General features: G+C 40.6%; 1 protein-coding gene and 1 pseudogene across 13 annotated transcripts in view, besides 1 other annotated feature; both read right to left on the minus strand.

Moving 5' to 3' along the window:
• Positions 1 to 19,180, minus strand: part of SKAP1 (src kinase associated phosphoprotein 1) — a 311,620-nt gene that overhangs the window by 45,051 nt on the left and 247,389 nt on the right. For 12 of the 13 annotated variants that reach the window (XM_005257755.5, NM_001075099.2, NM_003726.4 and 9 more), the window contains 5 exons: positions 10,931 to 11,008; positions 9,351 to 9,434; positions 6,231 to 6,355; positions 3,902 to 3,965; positions 1,562 to 1,756 (listed from right to left, as the gene is read on the minus strand). In XM_005257755.5, the coding sequence (XP_005257812.1) occupies positions 1,562 to 1,756; positions 3,902 to 3,965; positions 6,231 to 6,355; positions 9,351 to 9,434; positions 10,931 to 11,008 (546 nt within the window). Of the gene's footprint in view, positions 1 to 1,561; positions 1,757 to 3,901; positions 3,966 to 6,230; positions 6,356 to 9,350; positions 9,435 to 10,930; positions 11,009 to 15,160; positions 15,280 to 19,180 lie in introns of all 13 variants that reach the window. The other variant, XM_047436980.1, reaches the window with a different exon arrangement.
• Positions 13,677 to 14,294: an enhancer, noted in NCBI's record as "NANOG-H3K27ac hESC enhancer chr17:46269531-46270148 (GRCh37/hg19 assembly coordinates)". NCBI's record gives its function as "activates a minimal SCP1, AML or CMV promoter by ChIP-STARR-seq in naive H9 embryonic stem cells {active_cell/tissue: H9 hESC(naive)}" and the evidence as "EXISTENCE:reporter gene assay evidence [ECO:0000049][PMID:30033119]".
• Positions 18,189 to 18,294, minus strand: RNU6-1152P (RNA, U6 small nuclear 1152, pseudogene; annotated as a pseudogene).

The following is a 19,180-nucleotide window of genomic DNA, read 5'->3' on the forward strand; positions in this document are numbered from 1 at the left end:
CACCCTGCTGTTGCAATGGAGCCGACTGTGAAAGGGAAGATTCTCAGAGGAGCTGTGTTTTAATGTAGCAATTTGATTCAATTTTCCACTCTATAAAATTACCCATCACTGCTCGTTGCTTTCTAACAGACACCTTCACTCTTAATTTAACAATCCTATCGAATTCTGCCAGGGAAATTGGAAAAATTTATCACCTGTGAAATTTTATTTTCCTTTGGTTGTATCTGTTTTTGTAAAACTTCATTAACGACGATGACTTGCTGAGGAAATTATCATTTTTTTTAACGTCAGACACAAGAAATGGCTCGACCTCAACCAAGATATCATTTGCATAATAAAACACAACAAAAAGGCTGGAGAAGTCGGGACTGGTAGAGGCTGGAAGTGCTAGGAGAAGAAGCAGGCTCTCCTTGGAGGGTGGGTGAAGTCCCCAGCAGGGCAGGGACATGTGGTCACAGTCCTGCCACTTGACTCAGGAAGCAAAGACGTAGCTTCTTCCCCAGGAAGAGATGAATGCAGTGTGGAGAGGGTTGGACGCTCTTCTTAGGAAGCCTTGAAATGCAAGTTGCCTACTGATGATGCTTTCAGCAACCAGCCCTGTCTTCAGGGACTTGAGTGTTAGATTCACCTTAGCTCTTAGGTTCATCTGGGATTGAGGTTCATCTGGGTTCATCTGGGATCTAAATTGTTATAAATTTAGGCTTAACTTGAATTTCTCAGCAGAGCACTGAACTCCTGGCAAATTTCCATAGGAATGATCTTTCTGAATGGACTTGAAGATTAGCGTTCCTGTGGTCTAACTACTTCACAATTAAAAGGCTCAGGCTTTGGTTCTCCACTGTCTGACCCCCACTGAGCTTTGCACCATTCACCAGCTGCTGTTATCCCCACCAGACATGGCTATGCAGAAGCAGTGATGACTATACATTTTTTGAGATGCTAGTTTTCATGCCTTTGGAAGAAAGGAAATATATTGAGTAGACCTGCTGTAATGATGAGCAGATAAAACATGTTAGGGTTATTTTTAAGAGATGTGATTTGATTCATGGTATATCTGAACTAGGTAATAATGAGTTGTTCTCTATCAAGGTTTACTATCAAGGTTTGGTCTATCAAGGTATTACTAGAAAGGTTGGTCAGCATTTGCATATTTCAGAGTTTTGAAATCCTTCATAATTTTGAAGCGATTTTCCATTATTCTCACAACTACACACCAAAAAGTTGAAACTAGAGAATTTTGATGACTCATTCCAAAACTCACAATAAACCAATAAAAACCAACGTAAGTATTGTTGACTCTTTAACCTGGTGGACACATGTAAAAAGTTACTTCACATGGCATGGATAGAAGACACTCATTAATCAAATTCTTCTTGCTCCCAGAGCAAGGCAGAGCCTCATTACCCACTTCCCTACAATCTCATAAAGCGTCCCACATTATCTCCTTCAGAGGATGAGGGTTAGATTTGGCTTCCTTTGGAATTTTCAAAGTTATTATTCTTCCACCAGGTCATGAATTTCTGAAACTAGCATAAGATAATCAGAGGACAAAATTTCTCACCTGGCAAGACTTCATAAATATCTTCTTCTTCTTTCTCCTCTGTAGGCTCTTTTATCCCCACACTCCCAGGCAAGATAGTGGGTCTGCACTGGGAACCACAACTTGGGGAGTCAAAACCATCAATATCATCATATGTCTCTTCTTTTTCTTCTTCCTCCTCATCCTCTTCATATGGAATGGTTAAGGAGCTCAGATCTAACAAGGCAAAGATGAGAATGAATCAAGAAACAGAGAAAAAGAAAATAAGACAGGAAAGGAAAGAGGGAGAAGGAGGAGGAGGGATGAGAGTAAAATATGTCAAATGAAAATGAAACATTAGGTTAAATGCTATTATTTCTAATGTGGGCTTTGGTGGCAGGAAATCTACAGAAAAGGCCAGAATAGCACTGCATCAGGTTTAAACCATCAACATAAATCCTTCCTTGCAATAAAACTTGATCAGAGTGAAGCAGCCTGAAAAGTATGGGTGTGTGAATGAGAACATGAGGCAAAGGGAAGAAAATAGGCCAGAAGAGGAAAAGCCAGTGTGCTGTACACAGCTTATCACGTAGAAAACTGGAAGGGTGAGTGAAGGCTTGCAGTCCTCCAGGGTACTCAGGCCGTGGGAGCTAAGGTGGCCTCTGTAGGGTGCTGGAGCTGTCAGAAGCTTATCTCCCCAGTGATTTCACTGCAGAATTTCAGACAAGTTTGTTCGCAGAGAAAAAAATGGGCAACAGTGGAAGATAAAAAGAAACGGGGTATGGAAAAATATAACAGTAATACAAGACCAAATGGAATGGCTGAACAATGCAGTTACCATGTCCTTTTGCAACTGCACAGTCTAGCTGACCTTAAAGTGGGTCACTGCATAGAAGGTGTTGAGCCATTACAGCACTGGGGAGCACCAGGGCAGGGGAGGGAGATTGGTTTTTTATTTTAATGGGGAACTGAGAATGTTCATTCTCTGATGTGTACTACAGAGTGCTCTCTGAAACCCTGCTGAGGGCCCTCTGCAGGATGGGTGAGTGCAGTCAGCATACTCTGGGGAAGGAAAGGATGGAGAGACGTCCAACTTTCATTTCAAAATGCAATAAAATTGTTTGGCTTGATTAGCCTTTTAATAAAGATTTTGCAACAATTTTCATCTGAATTTTGGTGCCACCACATACGAGGAAAAGATCAAAAACACATTTGTGGCTTAAACCATATGTTATTATTTTGTTTTAAAATAAAATGGAATGAATAATTTCTTCAATGTGGGATTCTGAAAGTACCACAGGGTACAGCTCAATAAAGCTGCTTTGAGTTTTATTGAGGTTTACACACTTAGGGGTATATTACACGCATAAATCCAAGGCACCTAGATGAGAGTGTACCCTGTAGTCTCGCCATCAATGTTCATGTTTGCCTAGTTCCAGTCTATTATACGTGACGCTGTTGGTAGATGCAATAGTTTGCTTTTGTGATAGCAAAGGCATAACTGAGTAAAACAGGCAATTCTTGTAATTAAAGCACTGGTGCTTCCTTCTTTTTATCCACAATAAAATCTTATAGCAGAATAAAAATCTGAGATGAAAAGGCTTTGCGTTTTTAGCTTGACGTGTGTCTTTCTAGGTCTTGGGCCATGTATAAAGTTGGTGTTTCTGCCTTTCTGCAGAACAGAGGTAGGGTCCTGCCATGATGGTAGGTGACAATTATATAATACCGAGTGACTAACTCAAGGTTGGCTTATTCTACCTGACAGACCACTCCCAGATAAGGCTTCCCTGGCCATTGTTTCTGCTTTGCCTACAGGCTGGCCAGCAGAGGGTACTCTAAGAGCAGTCATTTACCATCTTCAGGCAGGACTCTTCCCATCCCAAAGCAAGGAACATCTTATTGTGGCTTGGGAAATAACAGTTTGTTTTTAATGTCCAATGTCCCTGAAGACCATCTAGATTGGTTTAGATTTCTACTTCCTCCTAAGACTAAAATAAGGAGATTTTGAACCTCAATTGCAACTAGATGACTTTAAGTTGGATATTATGAATTTCCTTTCCAGAATATAAGGGGTTAGGAGACACCGAATTGGGCTGAGCTGATTTTTAGAATCTCCTTTTCTAGTGATTTTGAATATTACAGACTTGCCTGTAGGTAGGTGGATGAGCTATGATACCAGAGGTCCTCCCAAGGTTGATACTGTCTTTATCTTCTCATTCACACATAGTACTATTTGTTGTTGTAATATGGGGAATGTGGTAGGAAAGGTAGAGGTGAGAAAGGGCAGAAAAAATACATACTGAAGTCTGTAGATTATATTTATGCAACATAACTTCAACTGCAAATCAACTCAAGTATTATTTCTGTAACAATGACACTTACCCTTTAACAAGAAACTTATTTGATCCACCCAGTCTCTGGCTTCTGCTGGACTAGTAGCTGTAAACTAGAGAAAAATCAGTGAATTAATTTATCACTGTCACTAAAATTTCCATGAATCTTGACAGGGATGTCCAAGGGGGAGGAACCACTGAGTTTCAGAGTCAAGTTTAAAGCTCAGGATTCTCTGCCTGCTTAACATATAGAAAAAAGACCAAATATTTCACTCAAACTGATTTTTTCCTTCTGCAATTTTGCATACCCAGAGATGACAGCTCTTTGAGTCTAGACATTCATGTCCTTGTGCATTCTTTCATTTGATTATCTATTCCTTCATCAGACATTTATTTGAGAAAAGTTTACAAGAAAAAGAAGCAAACCAACCCACACACATGAAACGGGAACACTAAAAGGAGGCACATTTTGTAACAACCGGATATCAAGAGGAGACAGGGAGCACCTGTTGTTGCCTAGAGTAGGTCAGAGTGGCTTGCTGAAATAATACCATTTTGGCTGGATTTTAAAGAAGAGTTGGTGGAAACTGGTGGACAGAGTTGGACATTTTAGGTAGGCAGGCCTATGTGCAAAAGAACAGGAATGAGAACATGACTTACGGGGAAGCCTGGCAGATCAGCTTGACTGAAGAACAATAACAGATGAAGTTGGAGAGTTGAGGGTCAGAGAAGAGTCGGTAAAAGGGCTCTGAGTACTAGGAGTTCAGAGTTAAAATGCAGGCAACAGGAAGCCACTATCAGCTCTAGCAAAAGGAGTGGGGGATTCTTTCAATAGTAGTGAGTAGGAAGGATTGGAATAGAGAAATCTGGAGGCAGAAGACCAACTGGTCCTCTGGATGAAGTGACAGGAACTTAACTATTGTGATAGCTGTGGGAATAAATAAGAAGGGAAAGAGCCAAAGGATATTGTAGAAGAAGAATCCACAGACCATGGTAACGATTTGGATTCAATAGGCCAAAGAAAAGAAGTAAATAAAGTACATTCTGATTAACAAAATAGGCCAGTCAAGCATCAGCCTTTAGTAATTTTTTTATTTTAAATGAATCAACTTGAAATAATTGTTCCTGAAAAATATTTTAATTATCTGGCCATTAGGGTAAGGTAAAGGTATATGCTATACAAAGAAACTGGATTCCTGCATAATGCTTATTAATAGACATTGTTATTCTTGATTTCTTAAAAACAAATTTCTATAAAAACATTTCTAGAAATACTGGTTTAGACTTGTTACGTAAACTTTTACCTGGATGTGTTACTATCAGAATGTAATAATAAAAATAACTAGGAACATATTCAGTGCATAGATCTATATTATATATATTCATAAAAGACTCTATAGAAAAGTTTTAGTTCAAATTTCAAAAAATTTCTGGAAATTACATAATGAAGACCTAGGTCCTTTAACAAAATAAGAGTTAAGATACTGTAGAAATAAAAAAGAAGAATGCTGAGAAAAGTCTGAAGACTAAAAGTGTTACTTAAGTGGTTAATTTACTCTTAGTATGGTGTTTTCCTTTTTCATAAGCTAAAGTTTTTCTAAATTGCTTTAATAAAATTGTGATAAGATAAAAATTACCAAAAAGCAGGAAACAATACACACACATGCAAACATACATTTTTGGTGAAAATCACTATATTTCCACAGTCAGAAATTTTTAAATTTTATTGGTCATTCAGCATGAAGATGGCAAAAATAAAATAAAACACATTAATTTTATAATGAGGTAAAGATTCAAACTGAGCACAGTACGGAATAAGTCTTTCTTGCCCCGACCAGGTCCTCTAGTCCTTCAATTATTATTGTTACTATCGTCACCAATATCTTAGAAATCCTTCCAGAGATATGCAAAGCATCTACACACAGGAAGATTATTTTGGATAGCAAGATGAACATGGGAAAATAATTTTTTTTCACTCTACAGTTAGATCTTTTTTTGGGATTTCATGGAAGGAAGTGAAGAAAATCAGTCGAAGAATAAAGAGAATGGGAATTTAAACCATAAAATCGGAGACTATAAGTAAGGAATTTGATTGTGTGCTGCAATTGACAAGCATCTCACCTATGAAGTGAAATTGAGAAGGGGAGGAATGAAGGATGGAAGCCAAGCAAAGTCTGTATCTAAGATGAGAGTGGCAACAGAGGGGAGGGTGTGGCATAGCAAATATGAGGACATGCCAAGAAATAGGGTCTTCGTTGGCATGAAATGAGCAGGTAACAAAGAAAGGCTGGAACCCAGCATAGCAACCATGGCTCACATGCAATACAGAAGGAAACTGCAACACCAAGAAGGATCACCATCTCCTTGATGCGTCCTACCTCATAGCTGCGCCTATCCTGGGAGGTCAGTTCAAAGCAGGATTCTTTCTTGGAATCTCTTCGCAGGTGGGGGGCCATCCGTACACCGTAGCCCTTAATGAGGAAGGTCCCTTTGGGCTGCTTGCCTGCAAGACAGGAAAGCTCCCTGTATCCCTAGAGAGATGCAACTGCCAAGGGAAGGCATCCTCTCTGGTATGTAAAATAAAAGCACAGAAACAGCTGTTACATCCCTGAGGAACCACAATAGTCAAGGAAAGGTTATTAGAGAAGCTTAAGAAGAGGCTACTGCGACAGTAAGGCAGATATCACTGCCAAGCTAGGGAAATGCAACGTGAAAGGTTATTTTGCCAAAAGAGTACAACAGAGACAGAGAATTTATTAGAATGTTAAGAGATCTATAACAACAGAAAGAAGGAATTATTACAGCAGAGAGAGTGTGGCTGTAAATGTGAGGCTCTTGAAGGCTATTATAAAGCTGAAACATTATTATCAGGGCCAGCAGAGCTCACATTTGAGGGGAGGGACAGCAGCACAGGGGGGCATTATAAGGTCCCAGAATCGCCTCCCATGCCCTATGTAGCATTTGGGCTAAACTTCTCTTCCCCTTCCCTGCTGGTCAGGTGGGAATTTATGCCAGAGGGAGAATAATTAAAACTCAGTATTTTATCCTCCTTGTAAGAGGTCAACCTGGGAAGTAGCAGAATAACGTTGAGTATTATTAGATGACGAGGAAGGAGATAAAAGGAAAAGGACCATAAGTGAAGAGAGACTATTCTGCTTGTCACTACTTAAAAAAAATGTTAGAAACAGAAAAAGAGGAGGTGACTCTCAAGAATTTTGTATCCTCATTGTGTGGGTCAGGCAGAACACACAGAGAACAGGAACCACAGTGTCTGGGATGCTTTGAGCTCTATATCATGTGAAATGAATTGCTTAATAAATGCCTTTTGATGATGATAATGATGACAAGGATGGCAGTGCGATGCCAATATTAAAAAAGAAAGAAGAAGAAAAAAGACTGTGCTCACCTGGTTGAGCTAAAAGAAATACACAAACACTATTCTTACTAAGAAAATGTCATGGGCACAGTAAGAAATAACTGGCGAGAAGGGAGCCATGGAACAGTGCTTTTTGACACCAGAATCTTTTTTGTTAAAGTATCTCTCCTTGTTCTAACTGGCCACTAAAATGTTTTGTTGTTTCTTTGGTCACCAGATTTTATTTCACCCTAATGGCAAAATGGTCAATAAAAGCTTCCGAGTCTCTTGCTCTTGCTCTCCCTGCTCCTCTCTCACCGTGAGTATGGAAGATTCTGAATGAACAGATGTGACACACCTGGTTTTATATCTAGATATGCCAACCACTTATTTAAATGCAAAATAAATGATGAACATATTTACAGTGAGAAGTGTCATATTAGTTTGAAGTTTTAAAATAAGAAAAGAACAACTGGCTGGATTGAATGCCTATAATTTAGAGGAGAAATTGTGGTTGCTGGGTTGGAGAGTGGGCTGGGGGTTGGAAGGACACAGAGGACTTGTAGCTCAGTTTACAAACTATGCTGTTATCCTTCCCAAACAGGGCTTTAGCCTTTGCCCCTAGATGCGAAATGTTCTGAGGAATCTAGGATGGTGAAAGGTAGGCAAAGGTCTGTGATAACTACTGCAGGCAGTGTGAGACAATTGCTTGGGCAAATCTTAAGGATTTCAAGTCACTTAGCAAAGCTGCAGTTTTTATTTATTTATTTATTTATTTATTTATTTATTTATTTATTTATGGTTGAGACAGAGTCTCGCTCTGTTGCCCAGGGTGGAGTGCAGTGGCGTGATCTCGGCTCACCACAACCTCCACCTCCTGGGTTCAAGCAATTCTCCTGCCTCAGCCTACAGGCACATGCCACCATGCCTGGCTAATTTTTGTATTTTTAGTAGTAGAGACGGGGTTTCACTATGTTGGCCAGGTTGGTCTTGAACTCCTGACCTCATGATCTGCCTGCCTTGGCCTCCCAAAGTGCTGGGATTACAGGCGTGAGCCACTGTGCCTGGCCCAAAGCTGCAGTTCTTTCCACTACCTTAGTGCCACAGGTGCAGGAAGTACAAAGGCAACTGGGTGGGTGTCTGATTATTCCCTATATTGGATATCCAGGCACTGGGAAAGCACTAAGTTTGAGGAAGGAGAAACAGAAAATGATTGCAAGGAAAAAGAAGAGTCTACTCAAACTGTATCGCTGGCCTCTGTACGAAGGTGCACAGTACAAGGAAAGCCCCAAGAAGAATTGATGCTTTTTAAACTTTGTCTCCCTCTTGCGTCTTAGAATTACTCCTGGGGCAGTCCAACTCTGTAGAAGAGTATCCCCTATTCGAAAGTTTGCATTCATCTATAATAATAATTTTTAGCTTGTCTTTATTTGTAATTGCCTCCAATTGTGCTTATATCCTCTATTTCTTTTCATAAACCAATCAATTACATTAAACATGGATGGGAGGTCTTCTAGGGTTAGCTCATGAGTGTTGACTTGATTAAGTCAGTGGTGGCTCATTAAGAAACTATCTCTGGCCCGAGTCAACACTTCACTGCTGCTGTCATCTGGCTGAAGGGCATGCCTTGGGTACAGCAACCATTTGGGTCTCAATATTCCATGGCTATAGGAATGTCCACTGGACTACTTACTTACTAGCAGTCATGAAGATAAAGCAGGGAGCATGCCCTTAGGGGGTTCTATTTCTGGGCCATTGTTTAAGTTCTTTAAGTCTTTCTCAGAATTAATTTATTTCAATTTTTAGCTATGGTATTGATGCCTGTAAAGAGTTTGAAGTTCTTTTTATTTTTTTTAAAAACCAAAACATTCAACTTTGATAATGTGTTGTTAATCATCATAAAAGATAACCATTTGATGTGCTGACCACACTCTTAGTGTTTAAAGGTGAAATAATTTCTAAATTGGGTTCTGCTTTTTCGGTGATGGGCAAGGTATTATTTGTCCATGCCAATTTCTTTCCTAAGCATGTCCCTTTATGGGTGTTAGTTAAGGACTGCTATCTTGGGATCTAAGTGCTTGAGAATTTACGAAGTGTTTGCATCCAGGAGTGAGATGCTGCTGTGTAAATGAAGAACACTTACTCTTCTCATTAGCATAGTAGTAGAAGAGACCTCTGCTGACAACACACCATCGCTTCTGCCACTCCGATCCAAAGAAACTATGATCTAAACAGAACAGCAGTAGGGGACATAAATTCAGGTAACTACCATCATTGAAGAGTCTGTAAAATCCAACAACATACAGTCCAGTGTGTTATTGTTTTATTTCCCAGGTTAATGGACTGTAAAACCCTCCTTTTCACTCCCACAGGTTATCCCATATTGACTCAGGGTCCAGGGGACTAGCTCAGTCAAAGGTCCAAGTTCTAAACAGGGTTGCCTGCTCTGTGCCCCCACAGCTGTCTTTTTATCTAGACTCCTTTATATCTTTCGGGTTCTAATCTCATCCTGTACATTTTCAAACTCTCCATTATATCTTTATGTGTTGCCTTTGACAAAGCAAAATGATTCTCCAGGCCTTGGCCATGAAAGAGCCTTTGTTTTGGTGCTGAGCCAATTTGCCTGTTGAGTGTTAAACCTGAGATGCCAACTCTAGTGGTACCTACTCTAATTAAATGAGTTAAAGGTCAAGAGTTGGGTTTGAAGGCAGAAGTGGTGGCTCACATCTGTAATCCCAGCACTTTGGGAGGCTGAGATGGGAAGTATGCTTAAAGCCAGGAGTTTGAGACCAGCCTGGGCAACAAAGTGAGACCTTGTCTCTATAAAAAAATAATAAAATAGCCAGGCACAGTTGTGTGCACCTGTTGTCTCAGCTCTTTGACAGGCTGAAGTGGGAGCATTGCTTGAGCCCAGGATTGGAGGCTGCAGTGAGCTATGATGGCGCTACTGTATTCCAGCCTTGGTAATAGAGGGAGATCCTATCTTAAAACAAAAAAAGAAAGAAAGAAAAAAAAAAGGCCGGGTGTGGTGGCTCATGCCTGTAATCCCAGTACTTTGGGAGGCTGAGGCGGGCAGATCACTTGAGGCCAGGAATTTAAGACCAGCCTGGCCAACATGATGAAATCCTGTCTCTGCTAAAAATATGAAAAATTAGCTGGGCATGGTGGCACGCACCTGTAGTCCCAGTTACTCAGGAGGCTGAGACAGCAGAATCGCTTGAACCAGGAGGTGGAGGTTGCAGTGTGCCAGGTTCACACCCACTGCACTACAGAGTGAGACTCTGTCTCAAACAACAACAACAACAATAACAAAAACAAAAAACAAAAGAGTTGGGTTTATCTGAAATTTGAAAGTAGACTGCTTCACATATGATACAAAAACTACACAGTGGGAGCACACTGAGAGATGAGGACAAGAACACCATTCATGGATTCAACAAGTTTTATCAAGCACCTGTCACATACCAGGCATTGGGGATACAGAGGTGAGCAGGACATAACCATCCCTATCCTGATGAAGCTTACAGTCTGCTCAAGGCTGGGACATCTCTCTTTAGCCTACACGAAAACACCAGACTCCTTTCCTTTCCTTGCTTTGCTTTTGCCTTGTATCCGCCTAGCACAGTACCGGGCACAGAGAAGGCATCCAATGTGTTAGCCTTCTTTTTCCTCACTTCCCTTCCCTTCCTGGAATGTTCTGAAATCTGTGGGTCTGACCAATACCTTTGCTTTTCTTCTCCAAGTATCCTTGCTTGATTACGTTATCAAGTTCTTGAGCTCCTTTTACGATGTCTTCCATTCCTAAAAGGACCAATGGCAAAATGCTTTATTGAAACCTGGCAAAATTTTCATTTATTTAGGCTACTTTAGGTAATTCACATTAATAACAGAGTACAAAAAGGGCAATTGCTTAAACACAGTACAAAATAAAACAATTTCTGTATGATTGGAGGGAAAAGTAAATTTTCTTGCTTTTTCTTTTTTTTTTTTTGAGACAGAGTCTTGGTCTGTCACCCAGGCTGGAGTATACAATGGCGCTATCTCGGCTCACTGCAACCTCTGCCTCCCAGGTTCGAGCCATTCTCCTGTCTCAGCCTCCCAGGTAGCTGAGACTACAGGCATGTGCCACCACACCTGGCTAATGTTTTTTGTATTTTTAGTAGAGATGGGGTTTCACCATGCTGGCCAGGCTGGTCTCGAACTCCTGACCTCAAGTGATCCACCCGCCTCGGCCTCCCAAAATGCTGGGATTACAGACGTGAGCCACCACACCCAGCCAATTTTCTTTCTTTTCAATTATATCTAATGCTAAAATTGCTTAAAACTATCTAAATATACACTAATTTGTAGTAAGGTGAGGTAGCGTAAATATGCACTGATGGGCAGGAAAAGGACTCCAGAAAATTAAGAATTTTTTTTTTTTTTTTGAGACAGTCTGTCTCTGTTGCCCAGGCTGGAGTGCAGTGGCGCGATCTTGGCTCACTGCAAGCTCCATCTCCCGGGCTCATGCCATTCTCCTGCCTCAGCCTCCCAAGTAGGTGAGACTACAGGCGACCACCACCACGCCCGGCTAATTTTTTTTTGTTGTATTTTTAGTAGATATGGGGTTTCACCGTGTTAGCCAGGATGGTCTCGATCTCCTGACCTCGTGATCCGTCCACGTTGGCCTCCCAAAGTGCTGGGATTACAGGCGTGAGCCACTGCGCCCAGCCAAACTTAAGAATTTTTTTGTGGATATAAGTTCCAAGTTGGATAAACCTCACTGAGATAATCAAAAGTCAAATGAATAGCTACCAGCACAGACAGCTTTAATGAGTAATAGATTCCACCATAAACGTAGTCACCTAAGAGGGAGCAATAAATACACACTCAATTTTTTTTCTCTTAACAAACAGATAGCCATCTCTGTGAACATAAATTTTTTTAAGTTCATAGAAGAAGGGCTATGCAAGCTGAACTTAGCAATAACTGTCAAATCCTGATTTCTTAAAAGTCTGAGAAAGAGGCTGGGCCCAGTGGCTCATGCCTGTAATCCCAGCACTTTGTGGGGCTGAGGCAGGCAAATCACGAGGTCAGGAGTTTGAGACCAGCCTGGCCAACATGGTGAAACCTCATCTCTACTAAAGATACAAAAAATTAGCCGGGCATGGTGGCACACACCTGTAATCCCAGCTACTCGGGAGGATGAGGCACAAGAATCTCTTGAATGCGGGAGGCGGAGGTTGCAGTGAGCCGAGATCGTGCCATTTCACTCCAGCATGGGCGACAGGATGAGACTTCGTCTCAAAACAAAACAAACAAAAAAAAGTATGCGAAAGAATCTAAGAACTGTAAAAGGCTTCACAAATAATACCCTGAAACTTACATCAGCCTTTAATTGTATGCTGCTAACATTCTTGGCTTTCAATTAGCCTTGTTAGGTACAAATTTATTGAGAAGTCAAGATCCTAATCCATCTTCCTCCACTGGGGTTTATACTTACTTCACAGAAGGGAGGGACAAAGGATGGAGACAAAGAAGGAATTTACTTCTCAAAAAATAAAATGAAAGAAGAATGAAAAAAAAAGCCTCTTTTAAGGACACACTCCACATTTCTTAATTAGGCAAAATGAAGGTAATTGGGCTAGCGGTATTTTAACATTTATTCTTTTTAGTCCCAGAACTCAAATCTCTTTTGGATTGTCTTAAATAATTTATGAAGCAAACCAAATACAAAACAAAGTAAGGCATAACTACATATGAATCAACTGGGCCACCTATAGAGTATCTTGAGAGTTATGGTTGAAATAACTTTTTTTCAAACAATTGTTTTTTGAACATTTCCTACAATAACATTTATTCAATGGTGGCTATGAGCTGGCACTTTGCTCAGTGCTTTTCCTACTTTTTGTTTTAAAATAACATCTACGACAATTTAAAATGCAATCAAAATTACATTTTGCTTTAAAGCTGTTTCAAGCTTAGTTATAAAAAGGTAGATCAGAAGAGCCTCTTTTTCTGTTTTTAAGTGTGTCTATGTGCCTGATTTTTTATCCAATTGGTCCTTATTGTTAACCTCCTTGTTCATGGACTACTTTTATTTGTGTGTTTCACAGTTAGCAAACTATGTGGTTGCCATAAATCCTTTTAATCAATCTCAGGGTGCACGCATGAGATGAACAGCAGCAAAGGAAAGTTCATTTTTCTAGGGTTCTTTCATTTCTCCTACCCCTCTGAAAACACCCTCCAAGGAAACAGTAGCAGATTCTACTGAGGGTGAGGCATTGAGTGGGGTGAGGACCAGTTACAGAAGAGAAGGCTCTCTGAAGTGCTGTCAAAAAATTGCTCCTGGGGAGGCCAGGTGTGGTGGCACAAACCTGTAGTCCCAGCTACTTGGAGGCTGAGGTAGGAGGATCTCTTGAGTCCAGGAGTTCAAGGCTGCAGTGAGCTGTGATTGAACCACTTCACAACAGCCTGGGGACAGAGCGAGACTCTGCCTCTTAAAAAAAAAAATTGCTCCTGGAGGCCTAAAAATTAAATGAAAGACATAGGGAGATGAGGAAAACACGATCCCATAAGCTGGGAGTTTCCATCTCTTCTTTCCACAGGTTTTTTTTTTCTTTTCTTTTTAAAGGTCTTGTTAAACTTAGAGACACAGCTCCTTGTCAAAGATGCCAAGAGTCTGAATCATAAAAGACATGTTAAACGTTCTATTAGAATTCAAACCTCCTTTTTTTAATGCAAATTTAAATGCCATTTTATGGAACATCTATAATTATGAAAATGGGAAGACATTGCCTCGTGTGCAGGGAGAGTCTGTGAGTATGAATATTACATTAATGTGCCCACACCAGCTCACTGATCCTGCTGGCAGGAGCATAAAAAATGCCTGAGTGAAACTTTTATTTAGATGTTAAGACTCCAGGCCCCAGCGGGGTGACAGAGACAGCCCCTGTGAGTTGCCATCAGAGAGAGAGCTTGAATTGAATTACCCAGGGGGGAGGAAGTAGTGATGAGCACTGCTTCGCTTATTTAATTTCATTTACTTTCAGTACATTATCAGCATGAGGTTTTTCTCTCCCCACCAACTGAAACCCAAGAATGCCACCACTAAGGAAACAAAGACATAATACAGCAGAGATGTAACTCTAAGTCACTAATTCTAGGAGACAAGGGATAGCACCATCACCACCTTCTCTCCCCAAGAGTCAAACTCAGTTTGCTAAAATTGGGTACCAAAGGAGCTGCTGAATTTTTTCTCTTGGTCATTCACTAACAAGATTCTGAAAAGGAATAGAGCTGGAAACAGCTTTTTATATGGTGTGTTTTTGTGTATAGTCAGTAAGATGTGTTATGTTGCTTTCTTTCTTTCTTTTTTTTGAGACAGAGTCTCACTCTTGTCGCCCAGGCTGGAGTGTAATGGTGTGATCTCAGCTCACTGCAACCTCCACCTCCCGGGTTCAAGCGATTCTCCTGCTCCAGCTTCCCAAGTAGCTGGGATTACAGGCATGCACCACCATGCCTGAATAGTTTTTTGTATTTTTAGTAGAGACGGGGTTTCTCCATGTTGGTCAGGCTGGTCTTGAACTCCTGACCCCAGGGGATCCAGCCGCCTCGGCCTCCCAAAGTGCTGGGATTACAGGCATGAGCCACCGCACCCGGTCTATGTTGCTTTCTTATTCATTAGACAGAATCTGTATTGAGGAATTCTCTTGCCTGGTTCCCCTTATGGGCAGTGGGAAAAAATGGGATTATAGGCTCAGTTTAGAATGTCTACGGAAAAAAAATTAGGAAATGAGGTCAGATCAGTCTCTAGTCTACTAACTGTCTTCTGTGTACAAGGTACTGTGTGGTGAGTTCAATAACAGAGTTGTTCTCAATGTAGTTGGCTCTGAGCTCAATCTCATTAGCTCCATGATCTATCTGACAAATCCAAATAACCAAGGTGGGAATCCACAGTGGCATGCAAGGTACCTCCTCTTTCAGTGTCAGCGCAGGGTCCTACTGATCAAGAACTAGTGATCCTGAGGATGAACAGTGTTAGCCATGCCATGGGGTGATGAGGCAGGAATCTTGTATGCCTGGATCCACACCTACTGGTAAACGAACAGATCTGCAGAGAACTACTTAATGCATAATAGAAAGTATGTAAAATATGCTTTAAAGGACGGTTATAAAAATAGGAAGAAGTTGCAAACAATTGTATAAGTTGCTATTTTAAGGCAAACAATTTATATTTAAGTATACAATTAAAAAAAGAAGCTTTTTATTCATTACCTGAGAAAAGATATCACCACCGTCATGAAAAAATAAAAATGATTTTGATTTATTGAGAATAAATGGCCCTCTTGGCTAAGTCTAAAGGTGTATTACATTATATCAGCACAAAACAGAATTACATTAGTGTCATAATCTCTCCCTACCACTACACTTAACTAAACCTCTCAGAACAGCCCGTATAAAGAAAAGATTCACTTAGCTGAAGGATATGGGGCCACAAAGATAAGATCAACAGAGAAGTATGTTACCCAGAAGTGATGGCCACCCAACTTTCATGGCAGATGAAGATAAAAGAAATTCTCAGATATCTTTCTCTTCATCTAGTTTCCTTTAAACCCTTGTATCCCACCCACATCAAAAAAAGCAATAAAAAACGACAGAATAGGATTCCATCTCTCAATGCTAAACATGACTCTTTAGTCAGCTATGCACAGCAACAACAATGGGGACCCTTTGGAGTGTGATACATTTCCATAAAGCAGTCAATAAAAAAGACACGAGAGCTTATGTGAGTCACGGCCTATTTAACCAGCTGCGTTCTAGCCCACTGAGAAAAGAGAATTGGAGAAATCAGTTGGCAACACCAGAGCACAAGGCTAATAGCACAGGAGGCCACACAATTTCCACGCAAAAAGGCTGCAGCCCCTGCAGAACAAACCAGGTGCCCACTAACTTTCATTATAGGCAGCTGGCTTGGTCTCTTGCTAAATCATCCTGAAAGGAAAATAAATAGTTTTTTAAAAAACATCTTTTGTTCAAATCGTCCCCCTGTTAAGTTATGGACTTCTCCCATCCTCCCTCTTCCTTTTAATTCAAGTTCTTTTCAACTGTTTAAAAGAGGGACCTAACCAACTTGAGCCTAGAGACTAATAGCTAACAGGGGTGAATTTCAGACAGGGTGAAGTTTAGCAGGATCCTTCATTAAAGTACTCATGTAAAAAACCTGGGGATTGGGTGTATGAGATTGGAGAAAATTTAACATCTGAAGGCTGGGAATGGTCAAATTCCACCTGCAATTCCAATGCAGTCACAGATGGCTGGTGTGTGTGCATCTGCAGACATAAACACAAACACACGCTTTAAAATGCCTCAAATGTACCAAGGTGAGGAGGGTATTGCAGATAGGTTGGGGAGGGGGTAGTTTTCTCTTGTCTGGTGATTGTGGATTTCAAATCTGTTCATGAACCTCTCTTTTGTGCATTTGATTTCTGTGGCCTTCTTTAATATGTTCATTACTGCTTTTCCTTAGCTTCTTACTTTTCTGGGTTACTTTTTTGCCTTCTTCTCAATTTTCAGGAACCAGTCAATAAATGATAGTTTGTAGTGTCTGGCAGGAAGTGTCATCTTCCGATGCTAACAAGGAAGTTGGTTTCAATGACTATTCCTTGATTAGTCCCTTGAACAGGCATATATAATTCTTTAACTTCCGTGGTTCCATTTGATATCCACCTGAGTTTACACTTATACCACACATTTTTCTTGCATTGTGCTTCACTTATAAAGGAATTTAGCTTAACATATGAAAGGTGAAAAATTCTAAAACATTAGTAATAGATTTAGCATCTAAAATTTCAAAGATATAGAAAGCACTCAAACAGATGGCTTTAAACTAACTGAATGGAACTGTTCATGGAGAAATAAATTGGACAACAGATGAAAGGAAGGGAATGAACACAACGTACTTAATCAAGTTCTTCAACAAGCTGTGATGTAAGAAGCTAGGAAACAGAACATGAGCAACAGGAGCTAGACTAAAGGACCCCAGAAAATGGTAGAAATGACACATTTGTAGTTAGCAAACCAACACAGAAGACAACTTTCATGAGACCTCAATAGACTCATGTTGCCCTTCTAATTTTTGAAGGTCTTTTAAAAATACCAGTGAATCCAGGTTATAGTGAACCCAGGTTACAGAAATCTGTGGAGAAAATCCTGTTATACTGAAGACAAAAAAAACCTCTGAGGTTCTAGGTCAGTAGTACAAAGAAAAAAAAGCAGATAATAAACAAAATAATTAAAATGAATATGCTTTAACAAAAATGGCCCCCCAAAACCCTAACCAGTTTTAAATTCATCAGCATTGTATCAAGCATTTTTACATCTAAGTCCCACAATATCCCTATGAGGCATGTTTTATTATCATCCCCACTTTACAGACTAGGAAACTGAGGTGTAATGAAATGACATAATTTGCTGAAGGTTGCTCAGTTGGAATAGCCCATGCTGTTTCCAATACTCTGAGCTTCAGACATGCACAGAAGTGGATGAGGAAAGATTGGGTCTTCCTATCTCACTCCCCCACAAAAAGAGACCCTGTTTTTTGGAAGAAGAAACAGGCATGATGTGTGGTTATTCTAACTCCTGGTGTCAAAAAATTATTTTAGTATCTATATTTCTTATTTACTTTTTTATGAGTAAAATGAGCAGGTTTTATTTTATTTTTATGTTTTTCAGCTTTTATTTTAGAATCGGGGTACATGTGTAGGTTTGTTACAAAGGTATATTGTGTGATGCTGAGGTTTGGAGTATGAATAATCTGTCATCCAGGTAGTGAGCACAGTACCCAATAATAGTTTTTCAACCCTTGCTTCCCTCCCTACCTCCTCGTGCATTTACCCAGTGTCTACTGTTGCCATATTTATGTCCATGTGTACCCAGTGTGTAGCTCCCACTTATAAGTGAGAAAATGCCATATTATGTTTTCTGTTTCTGCGTTAGTTCAAAAACATGGAATGCTTCACAAATTTGCATGTCATCTTTGCACAGGGGCCATGCTAATCTTCTCTGTATCATTCCAATTTTAGTATATATGCTGCCAAAGTGAGCACTCGGTTACTTTTAAATGTACTAACTGATTAATCTTTGGAATTGCCTCCTAGGGCAGATCTATGTGAAATCCAAGAGGTCAAAAGAGATATAGAGCAAAATACAAGAAAGTCTCAGAATTCAATAAAAGGACACATGAGTTAAGTACCTATAAGAGGGCACAGCCAGAAGCTCTCAAAAAATGCTGCTTGGGGCTGGGCGTGGTGGCCCACGCCTGTAATCCCAGCACTTTGGGAGGCCGAGGTGGGCAGATCACGAGGTCGGGAGTTTAAGACCACCGTGGCCAGCATGGTGAAACCCTGTCTTTACTAAAAATACAAAAAATTAGCTGGGCATAGTGGTGCACACCTGTAATCCCAGCTACTTGGGAGGCTGAGGCAGGAGAATTGCTTGAACCCAGGAGGCGGATGTGGCAGTGAGCCGAGATTGCGCCACTGCACTCCAGTCTAGGTGATAGAGCGAGACTCCGACTCAAAAAAAAAAAAAAAAAAAATGCTGATTGGTCACCAAGGTTCGTAAGACCTCTTCTGATGCAAGGGTGATCATCTAGAAAAAAGAAACCCTGTTCCAGTGTAGGGCTCATGCAGAAATCTTGGACATGATTTACTTACTCTTGAAGGAAGAGATTTGGGTTTGAAAAGGAAGATTTTCCCCAGCACTTTGGGAGGCTGAGGCAGGCAGATCACTTGAGGCCAGGAGTTTGAGACCAGCCTGGCCAACATGGTGAAACTCCGTCTCTACCAAAAACAAAAAAATTAGTCAGGCATGGTGGTATGTGCCTGTAGTCCCAGGTACTTGGAAGCTTGAGGCAGGAGGATTGCTTGAGCCTGGGAGGCAGAGGTTGCAGTGAGCTGAGAGTGCACTAGCCTAGGTGGCAGAACAAGACTC

Source organism: Homo sapiens, chromosome 17 (assembly GCF_000001405.40).
Source record: "Homo sapiens chromosome 17, GRCh38.p14 Primary Assembly".
In the NCBI taxonomy this organism is placed as follows: domain Eukaryota; kingdom Metazoa; phylum Chordata; class Mammalia; order Primates; family Hominidae; genus Homo; species Homo sapiens.